The 15,862-nt window shown below is 40.3% G+C and overlaps 3 annotated features.

Moving 5' to 3' along the window:
* Positions 4,102-5,301: an enhancer, noted in NCBI's record as "P300/CBP strongly-dependent group 1 enhancer chr18:68024559-68025758 (GRCh37/hg19 assembly coordinates)". NCBI's record gives its function as "activates an origin of replication core promoter dependent on BRD2, BRD4, P300/CBP, MED14 and CDK7 cofactors, with strong dependence on P300/CBP, by STARR-seq in HCT116 cells {active_cell/tissue: HCT116}" and the evidence as "EXISTENCE:reporter gene assay evidence [ECO:0000049][PMID:35650434]".
* Positions 13,022-13,733: an enhancer, noted in NCBI's record as "OCT4-NANOG-H3K27ac hESC enhancer chr18:68033479-68034190 (GRCh37/hg19 assembly coordinates)". NCBI's record gives its function as "activates a minimal SCP1, AML or CMV promoter by ChIP-STARR-seq in primed H9 embryonic stem cells {active_cell/tissue: H9 hESC(primed)}" and the evidence as "EXISTENCE:reporter gene assay evidence [ECO:0000049][PMID:30033119]".
* Positions 13,734-14,444: an enhancer, noted in NCBI's record as "NANOG-H3K27ac hESC enhancer chr18:68034191-68034901 (GRCh37/hg19 assembly coordinates)". NCBI's record gives its function as "activates a minimal SCP1, AML or CMV promoter by ChIP-STARR-seq in primed H9 embryonic stem cells {active_cell/tissue: H9 hESC(primed)}" and the evidence as "EXISTENCE:reporter gene assay evidence [ECO:0000049][PMID:30033119]".

Genomic DNA, 15,862 nt, shown 5'->3' on the forward strand with positions numbered 1-15,862 from the left:
TCAATCTCCTGACCTCAATCTGCCCGCCTCAGCCTCCCAAAGTGCTGGGATTATAGGCGTGAGCCACCGCGCCTGGCCATTGTTGGACCCTTAAAATATTCATGCAAAGAGTAAAACTTCAAGAACCTTAGAAAGAAAAAAAGCCTAAAAAAAGAATCTTAGAAGAAAACAACAGCAGGGAGGCTGAAGAGCCAAACAGAGACATTAGCAGCTATGAAATGCTGGGGAGACAGTTGCTGGAGTTCAAGTAGAGTGGGGTTGGTAAGCACTTAAGCTTTAAATCAAGACCTCAGGGTGGCTGTGCCAGAAGAGTAAGGAAAACTTAAATAGGCCAGACTTAACAATGCCTACAACCAAGTTTCAAAGGAATCCGTTACCTAGCCTTCCTTCAACAAGAAAACTTAACCCTCTTTGAAGGAAGGTAATAATAGTTCAGAGCTTCTAAAATTTTTCATCCACAATGTTCAGCATCTAGTAAAAAATTATCAGTAATGCTAAAAAGCTGGAACAAGGGACCCCAGGCCAGACTGTAGGAAAAAAGAAGACAATAGAAGTGTGCCCAGATGGGAAATCTCAGCTGAGAAATGGAAACTCCCAAAAAGAATCAAGTGGAAACTCTACAACCAAAAAATACTCTATCTGAAATTTAAAACTTGATTGCATAGGTTTAACAGCAAATTGGAGACTGAAACTGTCAGAGTTGGTCAACTTGAAGGTAGATCAATAGAAATTATATTCTGAAGACCTACAGAAGAAATGGTTGGAAAAAATTAGGAGCCTCAGTAATACTTAGGAAGTTATCAAACAGTCTAACAAAACTCAAATAGGAGTCCTACAGGAAGAGGAGAGCAAGAAAAGGATAAAATATTTGAAAAAAGATAAAAAATTACCTAAAATTGGTGAAATAATAATTTACAAATCCCAGACAGCCAACAAACCCCAAGCAGGATAAATGCAGAGAACTATACCTAGGGACATCATAATCAGACTATTTAAAGAGAAAAACCTTATAAGCTTCTGGGAATGAGAGGATGACACATAATTTCCAGAGGAACAACAATACAATGACAGCTAACTTCTCATCAGAAACAATAGAGTCCAAAAGACAATGGACTTTTTTTTTTTTTTTTTTTTTTTTTTGTGATGGAGTCTCACTCTTGTCGTCCAGGCTGGAATGCAATGGCACAACATCGGCTCACTGCAACCTCCACCTCCCCAGTTTAAGAGCTTCTCCAGCCTCGGCCTCCCGAGTAGCTGGAATTACAGGTGGGCGCCACCAGGCCTGGCTAATTTTTGTATTTTTAGTAGAGACAGGGTTTTGCCATGTTGGCCAGGCTGGTCTCAAACTCCTGACTTCAGGTGATCCTCCCACCTCAGCCTCCCAAAGTCCTGGGGTTACAGGCGTGAGCCACCGTGCCCAGCTGACAACGGACTATCTTTAATGAGCTTAAAGAGAAAAAGTCAACCCAGAATTCTATTTCCATTAAAAATAACTTTCCAAAAGAGGGTAAAATAGTTAAACAAAAGGTGAGAAAACTTATTTATCCTCAGACCTGCATTATGAGAAACATTAACATGTATTTTAAGTAGCAGTTAGACACCTTCAGTTTTCCTTAGTTGCCCTAATTCCGTAAGCTGTCCAGGCCTATCACATGTGCTGATAAGGGCTTAAGACAACTATTTCAAGGTTCCTAATAAAATGATTGCCTCTGTTTTAATGATGTTGAGCTAGGTATAAAATAAATTGCCATTTTCCAGAATAGAAATGGGGAGGGACATTCTCTTTACATTTATTATGACAACTAGCCATATGAACACAGGTGGTTAACTTTTCTACCCCTTAAGATGTAGGTAGAGAAGCCAGTACATCCAGTATATTTAGTGCAGCTAGGCCTGCTTCTATATGGAAGTTCTTGCTCAGCGTGTGCTTACCACTAAATGACAGAAAGTGGAAAATAATTGGCTGAGCAGGAAAGTTAGAGGAAAAGGGCAGAGTCTTTGATCTGCTATAAAGCATAAAAACTTTGCTCCTCGTGAAACAGAGCACAATGACTATCTCAGGAATTGACCAAATACATTAGCAAAAAAGCAGAATTGGCACTTTTCCTTCTGTGCCAATCATGTGGAGAAGTCTGTGTCCCAAGAGTTATGATTGAACTTTACCAAATCTTATTCCGATATTAGTATATGAAGCAGTTTTCTTTTTAAGTAAATCTTTATAAGGCCATACAAAGGAAAGCAGTGTTCCCCTTCCATATTAATAAAAGATGAAGCCCCACAGCCAGGCTACCAGTCAGGCATTCATAAATGGTTACCTTGTCATTGCTTATGTAGGGTATCTTATTTTTTTTAAGCTACAGAATAGTCCCATTGAGGAGAGAGTAGTTGGTAATTTTTTTATGCTAATGTTTTTTCCCCTGACATTCATAGAAATAAATGCCTTAAATAATATAAAACCCTAAGTAGAGGAAGTGTAGCATATTGGATAAGAGCATAGATTTTGGAAGCTGACTGTCTGAGTTTGTAACCTGGTTCTGTCACTTGCCTTTGTGACCTTGGGGGAAGTTCACTTTTGTGCCTCTGTTTTCTTATCTGTAAAATGAGGATAATGTTGCCTGCTTTGCCTGGGGCTGTTGTGAATATGTGAGTTATTTCTGTTAAGTATCAGTGGCATATATTAAGCACAATTCATGTATTTGCTGTCCTTGTTAAGAGACAAGTGGTGTAAAATCCAGCTCTCTAGTTTCATCTGTTGATCTCACTAACTAGATTCCAGGAGAAACTCAGTTTATCGCAGAGCAATTGATTCTATTTTGTTCAAAATATAGGCACCAACCCATAGATGCGTCAAGTTGAATACTCAGTGGTCCTCAACATTTTTCGCCTGGAAAATCACAGTATAGATGACCTTCTCGAACAAGGAGGCACAGTGGGTTATATGCCATTCTAGGCAAGCTACCTGTAACTTGATCCCCTTCCCTGTTAGAAGCAGACTGCAGTACAAAGGAGTATGGAATTATAGAGAAAAGAAATGTAGGCACCGTATTTGTTTTTGAAGAGTTGTCACAACTGATTTCAATTAAACATGTAGATGACTATAGTTGAGGAATATCAAAAGGATGAAGATGCCTGTTGAGTTCATCAATGGCTACTTATTCAGAGCTTACTGTAGCAAAGGAGTGAGCTGCAATTGCAAGGAAGGAAACTGGTAGAGACTCAAAGAGATTTGAAAGGACAGTGGGTTTTGCAGAATAAAATGAGGAAGCCTTAGGCCAATATTTGGTTGGTCAGTGTTCTATTGGGTGGTATGCCCTCTTCGGGTAGGACTTTTGGAAGTGATGTGGAGGATATGGGAGTGGGTAATGGAGCTTTCTGATTGGCTTTTCAATCATTTGTTCAAAGTCTTCGATTGGCTCACTATCAACAGGCACATAACTGGGGACCCTCACCCCTGTAGGCTGGGTAGGCTCAGAGGGGTTTTCCTGTTTCAACTAAAAGAATATATGGGCAAGGCATGGTGGCTTACGCCTGTAATCCCAGCACTTTGGGAGGCTGAGGTGGGAGGATCACCTGAGGTTGGGAGTTTGAGACCAGCATGACCAACATGGAGAAACTCTGTCTCTACTAAAAATACAAAATTAGCTGGGCGTGGTGGTTCATGCCTGTAATCCCAGCTACTTGGGAGGCTGAGGCAGGAGAATCACTTGAACTCGGGAGGCAGAGATTGCAGTGAGCCAAGATCACGCCATTGTACTCCAGTCTGGGCAACAAGAGCAAAGCTCCGTCTCAAAAAAAAAAAGACAAAGAATATTTGTTCCTCAGCTTTGGGTTCCAAGTTCAACATAAGCCAGTTCTGCAGGATTGTTGCCTTAAACTGTAAGCTCCTTTCCCATCATATACCAGTGCCTGGTATACAGCAGGAGTTAATAAATATCTGTAGAATATATGATAAATATTTTACAAAGGAGATTTTAAACATTTTACTTTAAAAACGTTCAAATTTAAAAAGTTGAAAGAACTATACAGTGAATATTCATATGCCCATCACCAAGATCTACAATTAAAAATTACTATATGTGCTTTATCAAATATCTGTTCATCCCACAAGAATAATTTTCACATGGCACATTTGATTAAGCTAATAAGAAAAAAATAAAATTAAACTGTTTATAGCCTTAATACTTACATGAGGACAGATCTAGTCTGAGGGAATAATGAAAATAGTTCCGGAGATTTCTCAATTACCCTATAAGCCAGGATTGTTTGGCAAACATAGGCGGGACTCAGATTCTATCTGAGGCTGTTAGCATCCAAGGGCTGTAGGCATTTGAAGAATGGATATGCTAAAGGTTCATTTGTAGATATTATTATGGAGCCTGTATTTACCCACACCTTTAAAAAATACATTATTAAACTTGTAAGGAGAAATGTAGGAAGTTTAAGCTTAACAGAGCTACAACAATCAGTGTTTATAATATGATTTTTTTAAAGATTCAGTGGAAGTCATCTTCATTCACAGATGAAAGTCAATCCTGTAGGTGAAATGAGGCAAGTTAAAGTTGAATGAATATGCCTGCTGCATCAGAAACTATTTAAGAGATTAGTCATCAAAATAGCTTTGCTTGGCCAGGCGCGGTGGCACATGCTTGTAATCTCAGCACTTTGGGAGGCCGAGGTGGGCGGATTACTTGAGGTCAGGAGTTTGGGACCAGCCTAGCCAACATGGTGAAACCCCATCTCTATTAAAGATACAAAAATTAGCTGGGCGTGGTGGTGCATGCCTGTAATCCCAGCTACTTGGGAGGCTGAGGCAGGAGAATTGCTTGAGCCCGGGAGGCAGAGGTTGCAGTGAGCTGAGATTGTGCCACTGCACTCCAGCCTGGGGGACAAAGACTCTGTCTCAAAAAAAAAAAAAAAGAAAAGAAAAGAAAAGTAAAGTTGAATGACTACGCCTGCTGCATCAGAAACTATTTACGAGATTAGTCATCAGAATATTTTTGCTTGGCTAGGCGTGGTGACTCAGTCTTGTAATCCCAGCACTTTGGGAGGCCGAGGTGGGCAGATCACTTAAGGTCAGGAGTTGGAAACCATCCTGGCCAACATGGTGAAACCCCATCTCTACTTAAAATACAAAAATTAGCTGGGTGTGGTAGAGCGCACCTGTAATCCTACCTACTTGGGAGGCTAAAGCCAGAGAATCACCTGAACCTGGGAGGCAGAGGTTGCAGTGAGCAGAGATCGTGCCACTGCACTCCAGCCTGGGTGACAGAGCAAGACTCCGTCTCAAAAAAATAAATAAATGAAAAATCTTTGCTTGTTTTTTTCGTTTTTTTCTTGAGTGTTAATATATTTTCACATTATTACTGGCTAGTGTCTTATAATCCTACCAGCTGAGGTGTTCTAAGATTGAATGAGATGATAAGAATAAAACACAGTACATAAAGCTGCAGCATATAAGTTCCCCATTCCCATTATGGTAGCTACTCTTAATAAGATAGGAAAAGGAAGTGGAGAAGGAGGCAGGAAAGGAATTTTAAAGGAAGAATACTTTCCCTAATTCTCAATAGATCATGAAAAGCTTGAATGCTGAAAAGACCATGGTACCACGTTCAGGTCTAAAATGATGATGAAGTTAGAAAAAAAGAAGAAACAAAGTAGAAGAATGGAAGATGTAAAGAAGAGGAGTAGAAAGAAAAAATGCTGATGGAAAGAAATTGATGGTCATCAAGATTTCCTTTTACTTCTGGGGGTTTATTGGCTTTGGCTAGGTGTAGAAGACCACAAACATGGTGCAACTGGACTGCACGCAAGGTCTGGCTTGTCCACACTCAGTTTTCTGCCCTCTGCCTCACACCTGTGCCTGTGGTCGCTCTCTCTTGTCTCCTACCTGAGTTTAACTTTGGGCGTACTCTGATATAAAATCATTGTCCCAGAGGGGTCACTGTTACAGAGCATCAGAGCCAGGAAGTATGTAGGAGGTATTTGGGTTCCATGATTTCATTTCACATCTAGTGAAAAGGTCCTGTAATATAGCAAACAATACAGTGCTTCAGGTGAGTCACAGATTACTTACACAGGCTCTGGTCAGATGAAATAGATTGAGCCATGATGTGGGTCAGTGATTCTGCGGGAGAAATGTAAAGTCGTAAGCCATAAGAGTGCAAGAGAATATTTGGAAAGTAATTTTTTAGTAGTTAAATTTGCCTGTAATAATCATGTCTTTCTACGATCTCGTGGATTTGTTCCACTGGAATAGAGCATCACCCCATTGTGGCAGGCACCAGAGAATTCACTCACATTATTCAAGTAGATTCTCAATTTTTAATGGCAGGGAACGTGTTTCCTGTCTGCCACCTTTGGTATGTTGTATTGAATAGGGGGGTAAAATGTAGGCCTTAAGTAAACTACTTGTTCAATAGAAGAATGAAAAATTTTTTGAATTTGTTTTGAATTCAAGGGAAACTATGACAATAGACAGGCAAAGTAGGTACACTGCTAGAGTCCACGAGGCAGTAAAGTGTCATGGTTAGGAGCACAGACAACAAGGCTTTGTCTATGCCACTGCCGTCCAATAGGACTCTCTGTGATGATGGAAGTGTTCTATATCTGTTCTGTACAATAGAAGCCACAGGCCTCATGTGGCTATTGATCTCTTGAACTGTGGCTAGTGCAACTGAAGAAGTGAGTTTGTAATTTTATTTAATTTTAATTAAGCTAATTCAAATTTTAAATATGGGCACATGTGACTAGTGGCTCCCATATTGGGCCATGCTGAACATGGAATGTAATAGCAGAACACAGACACTGTACACATGGCCAGGGTTTGCATCCCAATCCTGTCATGTTGCTACTCTTGACTGTTCATTGCATGGTGCTGTCCTCTGTAAGAGCTGTCATCAATACTATGAGTCAATATATGGAGTCCATATATGGAAATTCATATATCAAGCCAATATATGGAATAAGTAAATACATGGAAAAGAGAATCACTATGTGGAAAGTACTTAGAACAGTGCCTGGAAAATACATACAACTTTTAATGGCAAAAATTGCAATTACTTTTAAGTAGCAAAAACTGCAATTGTGCACTAACCTAACATATAGGTGTGTGTGTATATATATATATATATATACACACACACACATATACACAAACACACACATATATATATAATGTATATGTTGTCAACTGAAGAATCATGAGATTTATAAATTTGGAAAGGAGAGCTTTATTCTTTTTTTTTTTTTTTTTTTTTTTGAGACGGAGTCTCACTCTGTCACCCAGGCTGGGGTGCAGTGGTGTAATCTCAGCTCACTGCCACCTCCGCCTCCTGGGTTCAAGCGATTCTCCTGCCTCAGCCTCTGAGTAGCCGGGATTACAAGCGTGTGCCACCATACCTGGCTAATTTTTGTGTTTTAGTAGAGACGGGGTTTCACCATGTTTGCCAGGCTGGTCTTGAACTCCTGACCTCTGGTGATCCACCTGCCTTGGCCTCCCAAAGTGCTGGGATTACAGGTGTGACCCACTGCGCCCGGATGTTGTAAGTTGCAGGCTGACCATCTGGGAAGCGAAGTCTCCCACAGAAGCCAAAAGCAAGCACTTCAAAGAAGGGAAGGATGAGACAGGACTTTATGCTGAATGGGCTGACCACGTGTGCATATTCAACAGGTTACTGGGGAAGATATGAATATTCATGAAGGGGGTACACACGTGTAGTAAGCAAATAAGCATGTTACCTGCATCCCATGTTGATTTTGGGATGGAGACTTAACACTTAAATGTATTATGATTAGGCCCTATGTGTCCAAAGGTGAAGCAGGTACAGGAAGGCATTTAGTGCGCTCACTGGTCTCTGATCAGGAAAGAATGCTGGTCAGTTGCTGTGCCAGAGTTCAGCAAGTCTTTAGAAAGGGCTGGTTTCTGTTGAACCCTTAGGAAAGAAAGTATAATGGTAGTTACTGAGGAACTGGATATAACTAGGCATGTCCTACCTCCTACCCAGTCATAGCTGGGAACTCAGTTTTTAAATTTTTTCTGGAGTCCCATTGTCCAAGAGGGGGTCTGTTCAGTCAGTCGAGGGACTTAGGATTTTATTTTTGTTTCTCAATGTATATACATGCTTGCTATTATTATTGCTTTTATGAAGAGGCTATGAGATCTGTTTTAAATAACTAGGTCAGTAAATAAATATTTGGCCTGATGTTCGGCCTCTGTTGACTTTCTGGGCCTTAATAGTTGTGTCAGTTACACACTGGGGTTAGTCAGTGTGTTCTCTTTTGGCTCTGAGAATTAATGTTCCTATGAATTGTCACTTTTAGCTTGTCTAGACAATTGATACAAGGGAATTTGGATTTTCTTTTTTTTTTTTTTTTTGAGACAGAGTCTCACTCTGTCGCCCAAGCTGGAGCGTGGTGGCACTGTGTCGGCTCACTGCAACCTCTGCCTCCTAGGTTCAAGCAATTCTCCTGCCTCAGCCTCCCGAGTAGCTGGGATTACAGGTGTCCACTACCACGCCCGGCTAATTTTTTTATATTTTTAGTAGAGACAGGATTTCACCATGTTGTCCAGGCTGGTCTCGAACTCCTGACCTCAGGTGACCCACCCACCTTGGCCTCCCAAAGTGCTGGGATTACAGGCCTGAGCCACTGCACCAGGCAGGAATTTGGATTTTCTTTTGCCATAGTGTTACCTGTATTGGTATGTTGTCTTCTATTCTCAGTTTTTGCATTTGATAAATGAGGAAGGTTCTACCTCAGTTCTCAGCTATATACATTTAGAGTCATGTGGGGGTATTCAGTAACTAATGGCTGCATTTCAAGTATTTGGAACACATTTTCTATGAATTGTTACAACAATAGCAACAATTTTTTTTTGTTGTTTTTTGTTTGTTTGTTTGTTTTTGAGATGGAGTCTCACCCTGTCACCCAGGCTGGAGTACAGTGGCGCTATCTCGGCTCACTGCAACCTCCACCTCCTGGGTTCAAGCAATTCTCCTGCCTCAGCCTCCTGAGTAGCTGAGATAGGTGGCATGTGCCACCATGCCCGGCTAATTTTTGTATTTTTAGTAGAGACGGAGTTTCACCATGTTGGCTAGGCTGGAACAAATATTTATTGAATGATTTTTCCAGACACTGGACTAAGTGTGTTACAGGCATTGCTATTTCAGTTGATCTTCATGGGAACCCTTTTAGGAAGATATTGTCACCAGCATTTTAAGGGAACAGGACAGAGGTTAGGCAGTTAGCTCCAGCCTTATAGCCAATGAGCAGCAAAGACAAGATTCGTTATCTGATTCTGAAGCTTGGTGAATGGCCTTCTCTCACAGTATGAGAACATACTTGTTAACTCTCAGCGTGTCTGCCACATGCTATAAAAAATTTAATAATTGAGAAATCAGTTTTAAACTTGGAACAATTTTGGAAACAGGAGGCAAGATAGCTGTTGTAGAATCTGGAGATGGAAGATTTGGGTTGTTTATACTCCTTTGGTGGTGAAGCTCTATTCATTTGGAATTTGCTCTGGACAATTTTCCCTGAGAAAGTCTCTTGCTTTAGGATGTCTTATGCTGTTGCCAACACAAAGAATTTTTCCTATGAAAATGAACTCTTGATTATCCTGATTTAACAAATAAAGAATTTCTTGTTGACTTGACAGCATTTCAATATATATTTTTTTAAGTTGTTGATCTGTACATGTAGAAAGTAAAGTGCTTGTGGTGGTGGGGGAGGGGGTGAATATATTACTGAATAAATTATTTCAGGTAAAACTGGCACATTTTAGCTGGGTGAAGTGGCTCATACCTGTAATCCCAGCACTTTAGGAGGCCAAGGCAGGCGGATCACTTGAGGTCAGGAGTTTGAGGCCAGCCTGACCAACATGGTGGAACCCCATCTCTACTAAAAATACAAAAATTAGCTGGGCGTGGTGGTGGGTGCCTGTAGTCCCAGCTACTCAGGAGGCTGAGGCAGAAGAATGGCTTGAACCCAGGAGGCGGAGGTTGCAGTGAGCAGAGATCATGCCACTGCACTCCAGCCTGGGCGACAAAGCTAAACTCTGTCTCAAAAAAGAGAAGAAGGAAAAAAAAACCTGGCACATTTTATAGTTGTCTTTTGCCAAGAAAACCCTCTCCAAGAGGCCTGGGGGTTTTCACACAATCCTAGTGTCTTTAGTACTTTCTCCCTTAGAACGTGTTGTCAAGGTGGTCCTTATTGTCTTACTGTCTTTCTGAGTAAATGCTGCAAAGCCCTCACAGAGAGTGCGGTGCGTGTGGCCACCTCTCCAACAATCATCTCTTCATTCTTTCTTCTCACAGAGAGCCATGATGGTGGGATTGGCCCCACCCAGTACCCAAGGATGGACCCTCACTGGTTTAGAACAATATGTGTTTATCATTGTAAAAAAAGAAAACTGCTAAGCCCTAAGCTTGCACATGGTAAAGTGCCACATGAGCCAAACAGAGCCTGAAATATCTCACCTGAGATCTCTTTGAAAACCAGTCTCTTTGATGTGGCACTTTGTCACATCAGTTTTAAAAATGGATCACATCAAAAAGAGGAATTTTCAATGTTCTCCTCTACCCTTCCAAAAAATGATCGGTACTTAAAGCCTAGAATCCTTTCTAATGTAGAATAAATACCCTCTTGGTTCTGTAGATCCATTCTTTTTTCTTTTAGCCATGCTTGAATGAGGGACTCTCTTTTGCCTGGCAAGGAAATAAATTTAGCTTTGCTCCTTAACTTTTTTTTTTTTTTTTTTTTTTACATTCTCCTCCTGGATTCAGTGATTCATTTTATTATGGTGAAATACCAAAGTCAGCACAGTAAAGGTCATCGGTTATCACTTCCTGGACTTTGAGTAGGCTACCAGGGACTTAAATGAGGAAGTTTGTAGCTCTAGAAATTACTGGAAATCATCTTAGGAACAAGAAGAAATCAAGTCATGGGTCAAAGTTTTATAAGAAGAACAGAATTGAGGCATGAAAAGAAATTGGGTCCTTGCAGACCGATCTTTACCTGAAGTAAAATCTGCACTTTTTCAGTCAAATGGACCAATAATTCCTTTATTAGTTAGGTGAGTCTGAGTCTCATTTTTCTTAATTGATAATATGAACCTTCCTAACAGAAGCAGTATATGGGCTAGGAAGCATAATAATTACTGTTCTTACAAGGATGAATAACACATAATCCATGCCCTCAAAATCTAGGAGTTCATAATTTAAGAACTTTCTTTTCCCCATCCAATGCTTCCTCCATAGCATGGGCAGGCAGGAGTTTTTCTTTTTTTATCATGCTATTAAAATTTTTTAATGTATGTATTTAATTGAGATGTTCACATGCCATAATATTTACCCTTTCAAGGTGTATAATTTAGTGGTTTTAGTATATCGTAAGATTGTACAAACATATGCACTAATTTTAAAGCCTTTTTATCACCCCAAAAAGAAACCCCATAGCTATGAGCAGCCATTACCCATTCTGTCTTCCCCACAACCCCTAGTAACCACTAATCTCCTTTCTTTCTAATGGATTTGCCCCTTCTGGACACTCCATATAAGTGGAATCATTAATATGTGGGCTTTTGTGACTTTCTTCTTTTATTTAATGTAATATTTCAAGGTTCATCCATGTTACAGCATCTATCAGCATCTATCAGTACCTTCTTATGGCGGAATGATATTCCATTGCGTGGATATACAACACTTTGTTGACTGATTCAACAGTTGAGGGACACTTGAGTTCTTTCCTCTTTTTGGTTATGAATAATGCTGATATGAACACTTATATACAAAGTTTTGTGTGGACATGTGTTTTTATTTTTCTTAGGTGTATGCTGTGAGTGGAATTGCTAGGTCATATGAAAACTCCATATTTAACTCATTGAGGAACTGCTAAACTGTTTTCCAAAGTAGCTACACTATTTTGCATTCCCACCACCAATGTTTGAGGTATCCAGTTTCTCCACATCTTTGCCAATACTCGTTATTACCCGTCGTGTTCGTGAGGCCATCCTGTGGGTATGAAATGCTATCTCGCTGTGGTTAATGGGCAGGGTTTTGAGAAGATCTAGCCTGAACTCAGCCAATCCTCAGATAATGTGCTGGAATCACAGCTCCAGGAAAGTGGTCATGGCATTCTTCCTGTTCCGTTTCCCCCATCTGGCCTGTTTTTGTTCCTCAACCTACCCACTCTTGCTTAGTGAAAAATCAAAAAGTATAGGGATGGAAAGGAGATTCCTGGTAGAGTAGGTCTGCGTGGATTCTTTGGAGACTTTCTTTTTGTGAAGCTCTGTGACAATTCTGATGAGAAGCCAAGTTCTGGAACTATTGCTCTGGACTTAAGCTCCCTTTGGGCAAGCAGTGTTTTCTGCTCATTACTCATATCTAGAACAATTTCCAGTCCAGTGGATGCTAAATGTGTACTTATTAAATGAATGAATGAAACATTAGGATACTGAGGATTATGATAGAAAGATCTAAAACTCCGGAGAAGTCCTTCTATTTTGTTCACTAACAAACTGGTTATAAAATGAGCAGAAAGCATTTGTTCAGAGTTGCAAAGAACTTGAAAACACTCCGTAAAATCACAAAAACCTCCCTCTTAAATATTTATGCCTCATGATATGCATGAGAAATACTGGCCTTTTATTTTTAAAATCAGGGCTCTGAGGGTTGGCACTTGGACATCTTCAGCGATCAGGCATTTGAGGAGGAAGCTAAAGAATTGGAACCCAGTTGGCATTTGAGGTCACTCTGCCTTCCAGATGTTGATAAAATAAGCTGTGATTCCCTATCCCAATTTATTAAAAGGCCAAGTTTTCTGCCAAATCCTGGATGTTTACATTATCAAGACCACTCTGCCTCACAGGTCCTGCTCACCTGATTGCGGATCATTTTACATTTATGACTCATTTTTCGATGCCTTGGCTGTTCTCTTTTTCTACCACCCCACCTATAGAACTTAGCCCCTGCCTCTATTCTTTGCTTTATTTTTTAACTCCATCATCCTGCATTTGGTAGTTCATTTCCTTGAGGGTACATGACCCAAGGCAGGCAAGTTTCTTTGCAGCCGACCACTGAAGGTTTGGGGATGCAGTGGGGAGGCTTATGCCACAGCAAACCATGGGGATTAAAGCTGAATAGTAGACATTCTTTCCAAAGGCTTTCAGCCTTCCTGCTGTTTGGAATTTCTCACAGGAAGCTCCCTCCAGCCTCCTGCATGTTGGCTAGACTTTCCTCTCTCTTCCTTTCTCGGTCATTCCTTCTACTTATCCACATGCCTCTTTCTTTCTTGTGCAGAAAAAGTTGGCAACCCATTTGTTTCTCCTTCTTTGTTTTAACCCAGCTATCTGGGCCCACCTTTCACATCCTAAACTTGTTTATATTCAGCAAAGATAGTACTCTGTGACTAGTGATTTATCTCTGTCTCTCTCTCTCTCTCTCACACACACACGCACACACATGTACACACACATACACATGCATGTATACACACACGCACACAGAGTTTTCTTCATTGTGCAGCTAACTGGTAAGTGCTTAGAATCCAGATTCCTCAACTTACATGTAATATTCTGCTTTCAAAGTTCACACAAAGATGTAAGTACATTCCAGCTGCCATGGTCAAGCCAATTTGTAATTGGTTGCCCGTAAAATGCAAGTAGCTGGACTTGAGATAATCACAGTCTCCACTCACGTGCCGCCTCCTTGTCTTGTCCCTCTCTTCTCTGGCTCTTACCCACCGATGCCTAACAATCAGTGAGCCAACCAATGTTCATCGCATACCTACTATGACCAAGCCCTGTGTTAAGCACTGAATAAGATAAAACACTAAACAAGAAAATTATGACTTCTGTTTTCAGGAAGTTTATAGTTGAGGACTAAACTCTGATTTTTTTTATTTTGCTCAGATTTCTATTTAAGGGGTCTGGAGACTCATGCCCTCCAAACCATAAATTCTCATCAGATGGGTTTTATTTAACCCTATATATCATGACTTTACTTTCCAATCTGACTCTGGCATAACATTATGTGACAAAGAAGAAAATAAAATTATTTTAGCCCAAAACATGTTGCTTTGCCATATTTTGAAGTGGTCCTGCAAAGCCATCCTTTGTGAGGGAAAATGTGCACCTGTAAAGAATCTCTATTAACATAGCTAGATCTTTTTCTTCCAGGCCCTCCCAATCCTGAAGAGATTAACTGAGAGTCTAACACCTTTTAAAGGTCTGATTAGGAAACATTTGTCATCTATTCTCTAAGGGCAGCCAGTATGAGACTTCAAAAGAAACTTGATCTCCACAATCTTTTATTTATTTATTTTTTTTGAGACAGAGTCTCACTCTATTGCCCAAGCTGGAGTGCAATGGTGTGATCTCAGCCTCCTGGGTTCAAGGGATTCTCCTGCCTCAGCCTCCTGAGTAGCTGGGATTACAGGCGCCTGCCACCATGCCCGGCTAGTTTTTGTATTTTTAGTAGAGACAGGGTTTCACCATATTTTCCAGGCTGGTCTCGAACTCCTGACCTTGTGATCTGCCCACCTCAGCCTCCCCAAGTGCTGGGATTACAGGTGTGAGCCAACGTGCCCAGCCTGTCTCCCCCTCTTAGCCTGAACTTTTCCTTTCTATTAATCCCAGGTCTTTAGACACTCAACCAATCGTCAACCAGAAAATATTTATTGAATTTACCTACAGCCTGGAAGCCCCCACTTCCCTCAAATTGTTCTGCCTTTCTGGACCAAACCAGTGTATTTTTCAAATGTATTTGTTTGATGGCTCCTGCCTCCCTAAAATGTATGAAACCAAGCTGCACCGCAACCACCTTCGGCACATGTTCTCAGGACCTCGTGAGGGCTGTGTCACGGGCCATGGCCACTTACATTTGCCTCAGAATAAATCTCTTCAGGCATTTTACAGAGTTTGACTCTTTTCATCGACATAGGTAATAATGTGTAATAGATTGCGAGTATCACCTTTGTGTAAAACTAGAATAGAAATCTGTACAGCATTCTGTGCACAGTAGCCTTTAATACAATAAAAACTTCCTCCAGAAATCTTCCTATAAAATAGAGATTTGGTCCCCTAGTAGCCCCTGGGTAAATAGTGATGTGTAGTGTGTTTTTCCCATTATGACACTAAAAGCCTTTAAATTGGGTGTTTTTTATTCTATCACAGCTAAAAAGTTAGACTTTTATAAATCCTGCTAAGCCCCTAAACAAGGGTGTATGTATTATTACAGTGGAACACTGCGGAGTTATTAGGTCAATAAAAACCTTAAAATTCTTTTAAAATTTTCATAGAATCAGAAATGAAAAATATTAGCAGCATTCTTTGGATTACAGGAACCAGAAAGTGTAATTAGTGGAAATACAATATGTAAAATGACTAATACTGCTCAAGGAGAATATAAAATAAAAGCTCCAGAAAGCATATGTGACCCAATTCACATTTACTGTTTACAAAAAAGTTTTTATTGCAATAGCTAAGGTGTGTTAGCTTATCTGTGGTACCTCATACATAGTGATTATCACAGGGTAGACATTAAAAACACAACAAACAAAACACAACTTACCTTCACAGCTTCATTTTATGATAGCTATGCCTTTCCTAAAAGATAGTTGAAGTCATTTTATGATAATTCAATTGTGACAATTAAAAAAAGACTTGAGGAAATGCTAAGGAAATTTTTGTACATGCTATAGACTCCTTCATCCATTCACTGTCTTACTATAGTTAGGATACAAAGGGGTATGGAAGAATTACCCTCATCTTACAGAAGCTAATAGCTTCATTAGACACACAACACATTATTTCATAACAAGTTAAACCAAAGGCAGTAATTACGCCAGTAAGTGATGCTTTGGTTAG

This window comes from Homo sapiens, chromosome 18 (genome assembly GCF_000001405.40).
Source record: "Homo sapiens chromosome 18, GRCh38.p14 Primary Assembly".
Lineage (NCBI taxonomy): Eukaryota > Metazoa > Chordata > Mammalia > Primates > Hominidae > Homo > Homo sapiens.